We start from the raw sequence: 12,390 nt of genomic DNA, 5'->3' as shown, positions 1-12,390 counted from the left end.
TAAAAAAGGGAGACACCGATATGGTTTGGATATCTGTCTCCTCCAAATCTCATGTTGAAATGTGATTCTTAGTGTGGGACCTGGTGGGAGGTGACTGGATCATGGGGGCCGATCCCTCAAGAATGTTTAGCATCAGCACCTTGGTGATAAGTGAATTCCTGCTCGGCTAGTTCACGTGAGATATGGCTGTTCACTGGGACCTACCCGCCTTGCTCTCTTGCACACACTCTTGTGATGTGGTGCACCTGTTCCCCCTTCTGCCATGATAGTAAGTTTCCTGAGGCCCTTACCAGAAGCAGATGCCAGCAACATGCTTTTTGTATACCCTGCAAACCGTGAGCCAACCAAACCTATTTTCTTTTTTTTTTTTCTTTTTTGAGACGGAGTTTCGCTCTTGTTGCCCAGACTGGAGTGCAGTGGCGCAACCTTGGCTCACTGCAACCTCTGCCTCAGCCTCCCGAGTAGCTGAGATTACAGGCATGCGCCACCATGCCTGGCTAATTTTGTATTTTTAGTAGGGATGGGGTTTCTCCATGTTGGTCAGGCTGGTCTCGAACCCCCAACCTCAGGTGATCTGCCCGCCTAGGCCTCCCAAAGTGCTGGGATTACAGGCGTGAGCCGCTGCACCTGGCCCAAACCGCTTTTCTTTATAAAATATCAAGTCTCAGGTATTCCTTTATAGTAATGCAAATAGACTAATACGGACATAAAGCCCTGCGCAAAGGTTTATGATGCCTTCATTAAAAGTGGTCTCCCTGAGTCTAGTATTTTGAAGTAGCTCTTGTTTTGGTGTCTCTATTAGTTATCTATTGTTGTGTAACAGATTATCTCAACACTTAGTAGTTTAAAATAAGACTATTTAGCCAGGAGAGGTGGCTCAATCTATAATCCCAGCACTTTGGGAGGCTGAGGCAGGTGGATCACCTAAGGTCAGGAGTTCGAGACCAGCCATGCCCAACATGGTGAAACCCCATCTCTACTAAAAATACAAAAAATCAGCCGGGTGTGGTGGTAGGGGCCTGTAATCCCAGCTACTGGGGAGGCTAAGGGAGGAGAATCACTTGAACCCGGAAGGCAGAGGTTGCAGTGAGCCGAGATCATGCCACTGCACTCCAGCCTGGACAATAAGAGCAAAACTCCCTCTCAAAAATGTACAGGCATTAAGTACAAAGGGGCAAAGACAACTGTAAAGAAACAGGGCAGGGCACAGTGGCTCATGCCTGTAATCCCAGCACTTTGAGAGACTGAGGCGGGAGGATCACTTGAGGTCAGGAGTTCAGGACCAGCTTGGCAACCTGGCAAGATTCCGTGTCTACAAAAACTAAAAAAAAAAAAATAATTAGGTGTGTGTGGAGGCATGCGCCTGTGGTCCCAGCTACTCAGGAGGCTGTGGTGAGAGGACTGCTTGAGCTCAGGAGTTCATGGCTGCAGTGAGCTATCATTGTGCCACTGCACTCCCGCCTGGGTGACATTGCAAGACCCTGTGTTTTTTTTTTTTAAGACCCTGTCTTTAAAAAAAAAAAAAAAGAATACAGAATTAGCAGTTACAGGGAATAGCCAATAACTTTAGGGCTGAGCAAGTGCCCAAGGAAGGATCACCCCACACCCCCTAGGCTGAGATTCAGACCTCACAGGAGAGAGGGTGGTTGTGGCCCGCCGCACAAAGTTTGCTTAATAGTTACAGGAGGTCCAGCAGGGCGTGGTGGCTCACACCTGTAATCCCAGCACTTTGGGGGGCTGAGGTGGGTGGATCACGAGGTCAGCAGTTCAAGACCAGCCTGGCCAACATGGTGTAAACCCCGTCTCTACTCAAAATACAAAAATTAGCTGGGCGTGGTGGCATGCACCTGTAATCCCAGCTACTTGGGAGGCTGAGGCAGGAGAGTGGCTTGAACCCAGGAGGCGGAGGTTGTGGTGAGCCGAGATTGCACTATTGCACTCCAGCCTGGGTGACAGAGCAAGACTCAGTCTTAAAAAAAAAAAAAAAAAAGAGTTACAGGAGGTTGCCACCCAGCAAGGTGGCTCACGCCTGTAATCCCAGCACTTTGGGAGGCCAAGGCGGGTGGATCACCTGAGGTCAAGAGTACAAGACCAGCCTGACCAACATGGTGAAACCCTGTCTCTACTAAAAATACAAAAAATTACCCAGGTGTGGTCGTGGGCGCCTGTAATCCCAGCTACTTGGGAGGCTGAGGCAGGTGAATTGCTTGAACCCAGGAGGTGGAGGTTGCAGTGAGCCGAGATTGTGCCATTGCACTCCAGCCTGGGCAACAAGAGCAAAACTCTGTCTCAACAAACAAACAACCCCCAAAATTAGCTGGGTGTGGTGGCACGCACCTGTAATCCCAGCTACTTATGGGCAGCTGAGGCAGGAGAATCTCTTGAACCTGGGAGACGGAGGTTGCAGTAAGCCAAGATTGCGCCACTGCACTCCAGCCTGAGCAACAGAGTTAGACTCTGTCTCAGAAAAAGAAACAAAAAAAAGCCTGGGCACGGTGGCTCAGGCCTGTATTCCCAGCACTTTGGGAGGCCGAGGCAGGTAGGTCACGAGGTCAGGAGTTCAAGACCAGCCTGGCCAACATGGTGAAACCTTGTCTCTACTAAAGATACAAAAAATTATCCAGACTTGATGGAGCACGCCTGTAATCCCAGCTACTCAGGAGGCTGAGGCAGGAGAATTGCTTGAACCCGGGAGGCGGAGGTTGCAGTGAGCTCAGGTCACGGCCACTGCACTCCCGCCTGGGTGACAGGGCGAGACTCCATATATAAATATAAATATAATATATAAAATATAAATATATAAAAATATATAAATATAAATATATATAAATATATAAATATAAATATATAAATATATAAAAATATAAATATATATACACATACATATATATATGTATATATTATATATATGTATGTGTGTATATATATATATATATATATATATATATATATATATATATATATATAGTTACAGGAAATTGCCTACTGAGGTGCCACTAAACTCACCGGGAAGCCACCACCCTCTGAATGTCCCAGCCCCCTTTGTGTGTGGGGAGGAAGGGATGGTTCTATAAGCCATTTGCTGCCATGTGCCACAAAGCAAGAAGGAAAAGAAAGTACACTGGAACCAGGATGAGAAGCCCCTTCATTCTGCTGTGTTCCTCTAGTGCTCTCTACTGACAAAGTTAAACACTGTGCCAGCTGGCAGAGAAGTATTTACAGGATCCTGCTCCAGTATTTCAAAGCATAGAAAAGAAGGTTAGATTTGGAGCTATGAGGTTATAAATTGATGGCAGGCACATACATGTTCTGCTGCAGAAGAAGGTATTTGATTACGGAGTGCTGTCCTGAGACCCCAGAAGGAGTGTTACATTGTACAGTTTATGTAATGCACCATTGTGCCTTTGTACAATCTAAGCAATTCTGGGTTCTGAACTGGACCTCAGGGGAATCACGACCTGTACCACTTTGTTATGATCATGTCTTGCAAACCTCAGTGAAGAGCTATCTGAAACACGGTGGGAAAATATGCCTCAGGGTGTTCTGCCTTTGTCTATGACCAAATCTAATCAACAGCTGCCATCAAGCCTGAAGCAATAAGAGCACCTGAGTTCTTGTTTGAGAAGAGGTGAGAGCAAGGTGATAAAGCCTTGGCTCAGCTTGCCTCTTACGTAGCTTGGATAAGACTTCTTTTATCATATATATAGTGTTTATTTATTTATTTATTGTTGTTGTTTTGAGACAGGGTCTTGTTCTGTCACCCAAGCTGGTCTGGTACCCAAGCTGGTCATTCTGTCACCCAGGCTGGAATACAGTGGTGCAATCATGGCTCACTGCACCCTTGACCTCTCAGGCTCAAGTGATCCTCCCACCTCAGCCTCCTGAGTAGTTGCAGCCACAAGCGTGAGCCATCATACTTGGCTAATTCCTATGTATGAGCTTTTAACCCCACTGAGCTCCTGGAATTTGACCTAATAATATTAGTACTTTTTTCCTTTTAAGGCAGCATACAATTTTCTTTTTTTTTTTTTGTAGATCATGGTGCAGCCACAGAGATGGTAGCCCCTCCCTATGCTCCCAGGTATACGATTTTAATAAAAGGACAGAAACCTTGATTTATCTCCACTACAGTTCCAATGCCAGGGGATGCAAACTCAAATATCTATACAGGTTAGGGATGCAACTTAAATGAGTGAAGCATGCAGATACAAGGCAAAAAGGAGTGATGGCAACTGTGGAAAACCATAGAATATATGCTTAAATAAAGGTAGTTGCTATTTAACCCCTGCATATTGTTGCCATGTAGATCTAATTGTCAGATATTCTAATTTTTCAAGAAAAGCTGGAAATTCAGATTTTGAAAACCTGAACATCAAATTTTAAAAACAGTAAAAAAGACGGTATAGGACAAACATATGTATGTGCCGGGTCGGCGGGGGGAGGGTCACATCCAGCTTGTGACTCCTACCCCATGCCTGTTTTTATGCCCCTGTACAATCCTTTCCCACACTGACTATGGGTGTGGCCATACTACTAGTTTTGGCCAACGGGACATTACCAAGTGTGGTGCATACCAGAGGTTTGATAAGCATTTGTTCACTGGGGCTTGTCCTTTCTCAAGTCACTATGCAGACGTTTGAATGATAAAAAGCCACAGGGAGGAGAGGCCCTAGAAGATGAAAAGTCATTTTGAATGAGTTCCCAGCTGATTGCATGTGGGCCCCGGCTGAGCCCGGGTCAGCCCACACAATTGTAAAATCATAATAAACCATTGTTATTCTAAGCTACTAAGTCTTCGGAGGTTTGTTGTGTTGCAACAGGTAACTGAAATAGAGGTCATATCTAATCCCTTTGTTTTACTAATGAATGTCCTAAGGGCCATAGTGGAACGGACCTGGTGAAATTCAGATAGCATGACAGTGGTAAGAACTTTCCAATTCTGTGCTCTTCCTATTGCTTTTCTTTCAATTCCCTTGGTGAAAAGCACCAGGTAAGGACTATGAAACTTCAAAGTCTACCTGCAGGGAACTTATACTGTGTCCTGAATGCATGCAAATTACTGTAACTTGGTCCTTGGTAATGGAAAGATTTCTAGGTCATCCAGCCTCTTTGACTTTATAGGTGCAGAGAATGCAAAAACACTTTGAGAAAGTGAAAAGCAGCCTCTGATATCTGGAAGCTGGCCTGGTACAATCAGCCATGCCATGATGTTACTAGACCACAGCCTGGCCCTTATAGCTAGGCTTTGTGTTTTCCTGTAGAACAAAAACAATTCCAAAGAACATCAACATCAGACGAGGTCATTCTGTGACCATGATAGATCCAGACAAATACAAGACCACTCTATAATCAGGTCTAAACACGATAAAAAGATAAAACCTGATGATTGTCCAAACCACAAAAAATGACTCAACATCCCCACTTGGCTAATATGAGGGAGCTGCTGCTGCACTTTTTTTTTTTTTTTTCGTTTTTGAGACAAGGTCTGGCTCTATCACTCAGGGTACAGTGGAGTGGTGCGATCTCCATTCACTGAAACCTCCACTTCCTGGGCTCAAGCGATCGTCCCACCTCTGCCTCCCAAGTAACTGAGATGACAGGCGCGCACCACCAGGCCCGGTTCATTTTTGTATTTTTTGTAGAGAAGAGTTTCGCCATGTTGCCCAGGCTGGTCTGGAACTCCTGCGCTCAAGCAATTCGCCTGCCTCGGTTTACCAAAGTGCTGGGATTACAGGCGTGAGCCACTGCGCCCGGCCAGGCTGCTGTTTCTTTATCTGCACAGCTTTAGCCTCAATCTAGAATTCCCTTCCTCTAGATAAGATGAACTGAGATGCTCAATCATGGAACGACCCTCTCTTCCTGACAGTATCTAATCCAGTGAAGCTCTCACTTCCTTAAACCCTCTCCCAAATCACTAACAACTCTTACCGAGAGGCCCTATCGTTCCTCAATGTGTGTTCTCAGTCACTGCAACTAGTAATAAACCCAGCTTGTTCAACGATCCGTGTCTTCCTGGTGGGATTTGGTTAGAGGGCACGGACAGACCTAAGTTACACAGAGTTGGAGGCTGAGTTCACTAGAAGGAGTCTCCGCTTGTGTGTTCCTTCTTAGCCACTCTTTTGGTTAGTGTCTGTCGTCCCTCCACCAGAATTAAGCTCCATGAGAACAGGAGCCTTGTCTGTCATGTTCAGAGCTGATTCTCAGCGCCTAGAACGGTACGCAGCGGAAGCTGGATGCTTAAAAAATAACCATTTTCTGAACGAATGAATGAGGGGCTCGATATACGCACGTCCCCTTTAATCTCGCAGCTCCTCGCAGATCGTGTGACATACAGACAGCACCACAGCACATTTCCCAAAACCCCGTCTTTCCCGAAGAAATCTCGAAACTCTCACTCCTGGGATGCCCATCCTCTCAGAGCCTCTTCCCCAGGCCGAGCTTCTCTCACTCGCTGGCCCCTTCCCACACCTGAGCCCCAGGTCTATACACCTTCCTAACGCACCTAGAACCCACCTGTCTCCACCATCTGCCCCTACCATCAGACACTGCCGGACGGGCCGCGCAGCTACCTAGGCGTCTAGGGAGCACTGCGGCATGGACCGCGCATGTGCGGAAATGGGTCGCATACGCAGGACCTCCGACAAGTGAGGAGTTGCCTCGGAGTTTCCGTCCCGGTCTGGGCAGCCTTGGGCTGCCAGGAAGTCAAGAGAAGCTAGCCGGAAGGACAACCCGGGCGCACGGCTTTCTGGGACACGTAGTCGTGGCGCTCTCGAGGCCCTGCCATGAGCAAGCTCTTAACTCTTCAGGTCTGCACGTCCTACGCCCACCGTCCAGTGCTACTCTCAGCTCGGAGTTCAGCTTCGGGCTGCCAAGAGCCAGCAACCTGGTGTCAGAGGCTCGGTCCCACAACGCTCTGCGGGCCGCGGCGCCTGCTGGGAGGTGTAGTCCCCGATCTGCGTACTGCGTTCGCCGAGGGGGAGGGCGGAGCTGCCGGCGGCCCGGGCGGGCTGGCAGCTAGAGTGGGTGCGATAGCCGCCTCCGCCTCTGCCGCCTCCGCCGTCGCCTCCTCCGCCCGGGCCGTTCGCTGCTGCGCGGGGAGAGCGAGGCGGGGCCGCCGGGGCCGCCATGGAGCCCGACTCGGTGATTGAGGACAAGACCATCGAGCTCATGGTGAGTGCGGCCCGCTGGACCGTCTGTGCTTCCGTCCGTCCGGCCCCGGGCGGGCCTGCCCACCTCAACGTCCGGTGCGAGGCCGGCTCTGGCCCTTCCCAGACGCCTCGACCCAGACCCGGGCCCCCAGCCTTCCCTGGCCTCGGACCTGGCGCGGGCTCCTCTGATCCCTCGACATCTCCGGCCGGTCCTGGCCCGGCCCCCTCCATGCCCCTCGCTTCTCCCCCTCCCCCTGGTCCCGTCTCCGGTCCCAGCTCTCGGACGACCCTCGCTCGTTTATGCTGTAGACTTAGGTCGCACTCGCTCTAGCACCCCATTCTCCTTCTTTTAGAAAGGGATTTTTTTTTCTTTCCTCTGTTTCGGCCCAGGCCCGCACCGCGCTTGCAAGCCCCACTCAGGCCGAGTGAGATGGTGGGAAGGAGTACGGAGATGGGTTGGGGCCGCCTGGGCCTCCGCGTCCTAGGAGAGGTCTCAGCACCCACTCCCCAGCCTAGGTCTGTGTGGATGCCAGGATAGGCCCTACAGAGCTGGGGGGGCAGGGAGCTTTCGGGTTTGAGGCTGTGGCGGATAAGGAGGCCTCTTTCCCGGGCCCTTGTGGTGTCCGGCTTCTCGGACAAAGGGTTTCCTACCCGGCGGAGAGGGATGTTTGCATAGCAAGGGCCCAGGTACTCTGGATTCCATCCTCCAGGAAAGAGAAGGCGCAACTTCACGTTTTCCAGAGCTGCTTTGGGAAATTGGAGATGACTGGGGAGGGAGCCATCCTCATCACTGCCGCGAGGTCTTTCTTCTCAGAAAGAAAAAAAAAAGAGGGGAATCCTTGGCCCCCGGGGGAAGCGACCACTCTTCTGTTAGAAACCACTGGCAGCCAGGCCAGACTCCCGGTCCGTGGACACCCTCCACCCTCCTCCGAAGCTTTAGGATTTGAAACCAGAAGGGGTTTTTAGGAACAGGACAGTGAGAGAGTGGCTAGAAGTGAAGAATTTGCTAATTGATGGATGATTTGGTGGAAGAAATAAAATATGGCAGATATTACCTGCCAACGTGAACATGAGGGAAATCAAATTGGGCTCTGGAGAGCTGGGAAGAGGAAGTCTGCATCAGCAAATGGACATGTCCAGGATTTCTTCCTATGGAAGCCTTGACAGTTTCTTTGTATCTTTCCTAACACGGTAACAACTTCTTCCCCAGGGTTGAGAGGAGAGGTGGAAGAATCTACTTAACCCAGCAAAATGTTTTCCTAGCCAGATTTTCTTCAGTGTGAAAATGTTTATTGAGTCAGTGATTCCACTGGGTAGGGTTGGTGACATCAGAGCCACTTCCCCCATTTAACGCTATAAATAATAAATGGTGACACTGAAAGTCTGTTGGATAGCTGCATGGTTTCTGTGGATGATGGTGTCTGGGGAGTTGAGATGCTTGTTTTAAAAATGGAAGTACAGTAGCATAAATATGGAGGCAGCTTAATGTTTGCTGTCCTTTGCATAATTCACAGAACTGGACTTCTCTAGCATTCTTGAAAACTAGGAGGGAAAAAAAGAAACTGATAGTTTTTGATTTTTGCATGCGTGTGTGTGTGTGTGTGTGTGTGTGCACGTGGGGTTGTTTTCAAAGGGATGTCACATACTGAGTGATTTTTCCTTTTCAGCATAATTTATCATACTTGTAGTCAAGTGTTTGGTATTCTGTAACTTTTGTAGTGGGTTATTTTGGTAACTATCTTAAATCGACTAAGTATATTACATATTCTTAAGAATGTACACACAGTGCATGTACTTACAACAGAAGTACTTCATATCGAAAAATTGTAACTTGGTGCCTCTTTGAAATTGGCTGTTCCCAGCTCCTTCCATTTCTATTCCTTTAAAAAATAACGAAAATGTATTTATTTTCAAAAGAATTATAAGAAATACGTTGTAACCCAAGTCAGTGTATGGTTACAAAATAAAAAAATAAAAACCTTTGGCCTAAATTCACTGGCTTCCTATGCTTATAACTTAAAAAGTTTTGATTTTACATGATAGCACTTGGTTTTGATCAGAAAAGAGATTTCAGCCTGTTAAGGACATTATAAACTGGGATTTAAACTGGAATTCTTTGAAAATTTAACAGAGTTTAGTTATATTACGATTAATTTTAAAATGGCCTTTTATTTAAGGATTTTGATATTTCCTGAAAGGGATATCAGTTAAGACTCTTAGACAACCCTTATCATAAATTAAATATGTGTATTTATTTTAGTAAAGTAGCACAGGTGCTTAACAACTGATTGAGTAAATCCAGGATCAAATGTAGGAAATAATGCCTTAGAATCTAATTGCATGTGGCTTTCTGTTTTCACTGCATTTCAATTACAGTTTCCAGAACTGGGTTAAAAATATTTTTTACATTGGTTTCAAGATAATACGATTGATGGAGGAAAAGGGGTTAAACTGATGGTGTTTTGAAAGCCTAAAGCATGAAATATTTTTAGATTTTTATGAGTCAGCTTCAGTACTCAAATATTTGTGATTGTGCTGCTTGTACCAGTTTGGCACTTAATGCTTAACAAGATAACTTTCATTTGCTGTTCCAAAGTGTGCTGTATTAAAAAGAGGAAACAGACTTCTTGGTTATCTCCATTTTCTAATCTTCATCCCTGTACTTTCCTTAATATTGATTCTTCTGTTTTTCCTTGCATTTTTGATAAGTATATTAGGAAATAAAGCTGGTGATAGCAGAATAGTTAAATTTCTAAAATATAACCCCCACTTTGACTCCTACCGCTGCCTGAGGCCTGGGTCCACCCAGGTTGCTTCTCCTCCTGACCCACTCTATAGGATTCAGCTTTGAATATTAGTAAAGTCTATAAGCTCTTAATTTAGACCCTGAATTTACAGTTACTAATGGTAAATAATTTAACCGCCAGATGACTTTTAGGGCCTTATATTGGCCCAGGGCTATACCTGTTAGTGGGCCTATTTTTCCAAACTTCTGAGTTTGGTAAAATTCGCCTTATGAATGAGGCAGAAAACTAGTAATTCATTTTGGAAATATGTAAAGTTTATCCGGCTATGTTCAATGGACTTCATTGGGAAGAATGAGAACTGTACAATATGTATCACGTGGTATTTATTAACCTTTGAGTTAGGAATATGACTTGATTTTCAGGCACTCATCACTAGAAAGCACTCACAAGAGCTTCTGATTGGAAGAGAAAGATGATTAGATTACCCTGTAAGAAGCCAGCAGAAATTGATGCTATCACTTTAGGAAAGGCGATCCTGCCTCCTCCACGGGTGTGAGTGAATCCCCTCTTCCCTTTACACAATTAATGGATGGTTTATAATTAATTGTTAAATGACTTCCCTTTTTGCTAAGTGACCTTAAGTGAGTCATTTCCCTTCTGTCTTATCTCTTAAGTGGCTGTATTACTTGTTCAATGAAGTAATGTAGGTTAAAATACACTGATCCTTATTAAGAAGGTGTGGGCAGGTGCGGTGGCTCTAGCCTGTAATCCCAGCACTTTAGGAGGTGGGAGGATTGCTTGAGCCCAGGAGTTAGAGACCAGCCTAGGCAACATAACAAAACCCTGTCTCTACAAAAAATAAAAAAATTAGCCAGGCATAGTGGTTCACTCCTATAGTCCCTGCTACTCAGGAGCCTGAGGTGGGGAGGATTGCTTGAGCCCAGGAGTTTGAGGTTGCAGTGACCTGTGATTGTGCCACTGCACTCCAGCCTGGGTAACAGAGCAAGACACTCTCAAAAAAAAAAAAAAAAAAAAAGAAAAGAAAAAAGAAAGAAACGAATAAATGAAGTTACTGGAAATGTTGTCTTTTTTTCTTTTTGGATCTTTTTTTTTTCTTCCTGTCATTGACTTTCTCGGGGTGAGTGGGGTTGTTTAGTGACTTCATCAAGAAATTGGATATTACTTTGTCACCACCTTTCTCCTCATGTAGCACACCACTAGGGGTGCTAACTTACTGAATGCAGACTCAGTGGACACAGGTTTCAATAGGGTCCAAATGAATAAACCACACACACACACACACACACACACACACACATTTATATAAAATATATGGACCTCACTGACCTGCCTAAAGAGGCATTGGCTCAAATATATCAATTTTTGCCCCTGATTTTGCAGTAGGTTAGATATCCTTTCAGATTTGACATGGATAAACATGTTCCTGCACACAAGTCTTGGCATTCTGGGCTCTTGACTGCTATAGTCTGTCTCCTGCAAATAGGGAGCTAGCCCAGGAGAATCACTCAGCCATTACATAGATTCACAACAGCACATATATGCCTCTTACTAGTGTTGTTTGAGCCTGTGAATTCTAGAAACAAAATTATCTGCCCTGTAAGATCTGTGGGATCCTGGGTTCTACCTTGTGATATTTGTTCTTCATAGAAAACAAAGCATTTTAAGTCCTAGTGATTCCAATTCCAGTCTTCCTTTGTATTCCATTCTCCCTTATGGCTTTTCTGCCTACTTTCCTTGCTTACTGTATATTCTAGCACATGGAGGACCATGGTCCTCCAGATTCTGCTCACACGTTTCCTTTGTCAGCACTGATAGGAATGGACCTAAGCCCATTTATTGAAGGCTACTGATATTTATCAAAAGGATCTAATAGGTGGTTCTCTGGCCAAATTGGCTTAGGTTATATCTCAGCAATCTTCTCTTTCATTTATGCTAATGAAGTCCTATCCACCCATAAAACACAATAGGTGCCACCTCTTTTGATGTCAGTTTATATTATGGTAGCAGAGACTGTCTGGTTTTTGTGTCTGTATAGCACTGCCTATATGACACTCAAATGAAATGAATGAATTCTGGCACTTTGTATTTATCCTGTAGCACTTAACATATTTCAGGCTTGTAATATAGTTACCTGTTTGTGTCCTCTGTTGAATGATAAACTCCTCATGGGAAGGGCTGGGACCTTAATTATCTTCCAGTGACACACAGTTCCTTCATACACACGGTGTCTTCTTTGTGGTAGGCTTTCAGGAAATGTTGGGTTGAATTTTCCTGGTGATCATTTTCAGACATTATTGCCTTTTGCCTGTGTCTTAACTATCCTCTTTTCTAAACATTTTCACCCACATTACTAATTCTCACAATAATCAGTTCCAAATTTTTATGGGACTTATCATATCATCCTATTATATTATAAAAACTTGTGGTTGTGCCTAAACTCTTCTTCTAGAGGCTGTGTTTGATTGCCCTGTTAC

At 45.5% G+C, this 12,390-nt stretch overlaps 1 protein-coding gene across 10 annotated transcripts in view, besides 7 other annotated features; it reads left to right on the top strand.

Annotated features, from left to right (window-relative positions):
• Window positions 4,596-5,223: an enhancer, noted in NCBI's record as "OCT4-NANOG-H3K27ac-H3K4me1 hESC enhancer chr5:171435409-171436036 (GRCh37/hg19 assembly coordinates)". NCBI's record gives its function as "activates a minimal SCP1, AML or CMV promoter by ChIP-STARR-seq in naive and primed H9 embryonic stem cells {active_cell/tissue: H9 hESC(naive and primed)}" and the evidence as "EXISTENCE:reporter gene assay evidence [ECO:0000049][PMID:30033119]".
• Window positions 6,479-7,106: an enhancer, noted in NCBI's record as "H3K27ac hESC enhancer chr5:171433526-171434153 (GRCh37/hg19 assembly coordinates)". NCBI's record gives its function as "activates a minimal SCP1, AML or CMV promoter by ChIP-STARR-seq in primed H9 embryonic stem cells {active_cell/tissue: H9 hESC(primed)}" and the evidence as "EXISTENCE:reporter gene assay evidence [ECO:0000049][PMID:30033119]".
• Window positions 6,479-7,245: a biological region, named in NCBI's record as "H3K27ac hESC enhancer GRCh37_chr5:171433526-171434153".
• Window positions 6,666-6,935: an enhancer, noted in NCBI's record as "active region_23619". NCBI's record gives its function as "activates an Ori minimal core promoter by ATAC-STARR-seq in GM12878 lymphoblastoid cells {active_cell/tissue: GM12878}" and the evidence as "EXISTENCE:reporter gene assay evidence [ECO:0000049][PMID:35858748]".
• Window positions 6,966-7,245: a silencer, noted in NCBI's record as "silent region_16615". NCBI's record gives its function as "represses an Ori minimal core promoter by ATAC-STARR-seq in GM12878 lymphoblastoid cells {active_cell/tissue: GM12878}" and the evidence as "EXISTENCE:reporter gene assay evidence [ECO:0000049][PMID:35858748]".
• Window positions 6,990-12,390, top strand: part of FBXW11 (F-box and WD repeat domain containing 11) — a 145,090-nt gene continuing 139,689 nt past the window's right edge. For 9 of the 10 annotated variants that reach the window (NM_001378980.1, NM_033645.3, NM_033644.3 and 6 more), the window contains exon 1: window positions 6,990-7,170. In NM_001378980.1, coding sequence (NP_001365909.1) covers window positions 7,126-7,170 — 45 coding nt within the window. In that variant the 5' untranslated portion in view covers window positions 6,990-7,125. Of the gene's footprint in view, window positions 7,171-10,317; window positions 10,448-12,390 lie in introns of all 10 variants that reach the window. The other variant, NM_001378978.1, reaches the window with a different exon arrangement.
• Window positions 7,256-7,365: a silencer, noted in NCBI's record as "silent region_16614". NCBI's record gives its function as "represses an Ori minimal core promoter by ATAC-STARR-seq in GM12878 lymphoblastoid cells {active_cell/tissue: GM12878}" and the evidence as "EXISTENCE:reporter gene assay evidence [ECO:0000049][PMID:35858748]".
• Window positions 7,706-7,825: an enhancer, noted in NCBI's record as "active region_23618". NCBI's record gives its function as "activates an Ori minimal core promoter by ATAC-STARR-seq in GM12878 lymphoblastoid cells {active_cell/tissue: GM12878}" and the evidence as "EXISTENCE:reporter gene assay evidence [ECO:0000049][PMID:35858748]".

Source organism: Homo sapiens, chromosome 5 (assembly GCF_000001405.40).
Source record: "Homo sapiens chromosome 5, GRCh38.p14 Primary Assembly".
NCBI lineage: Eukaryota > Metazoa > Chordata > Mammalia > Primates > Hominidae > Homo > Homo sapiens.
Note: the sequence above shows the minus strand (reverse complement) of the source record. Positions and strands in the feature narration are given on the sequence as shown.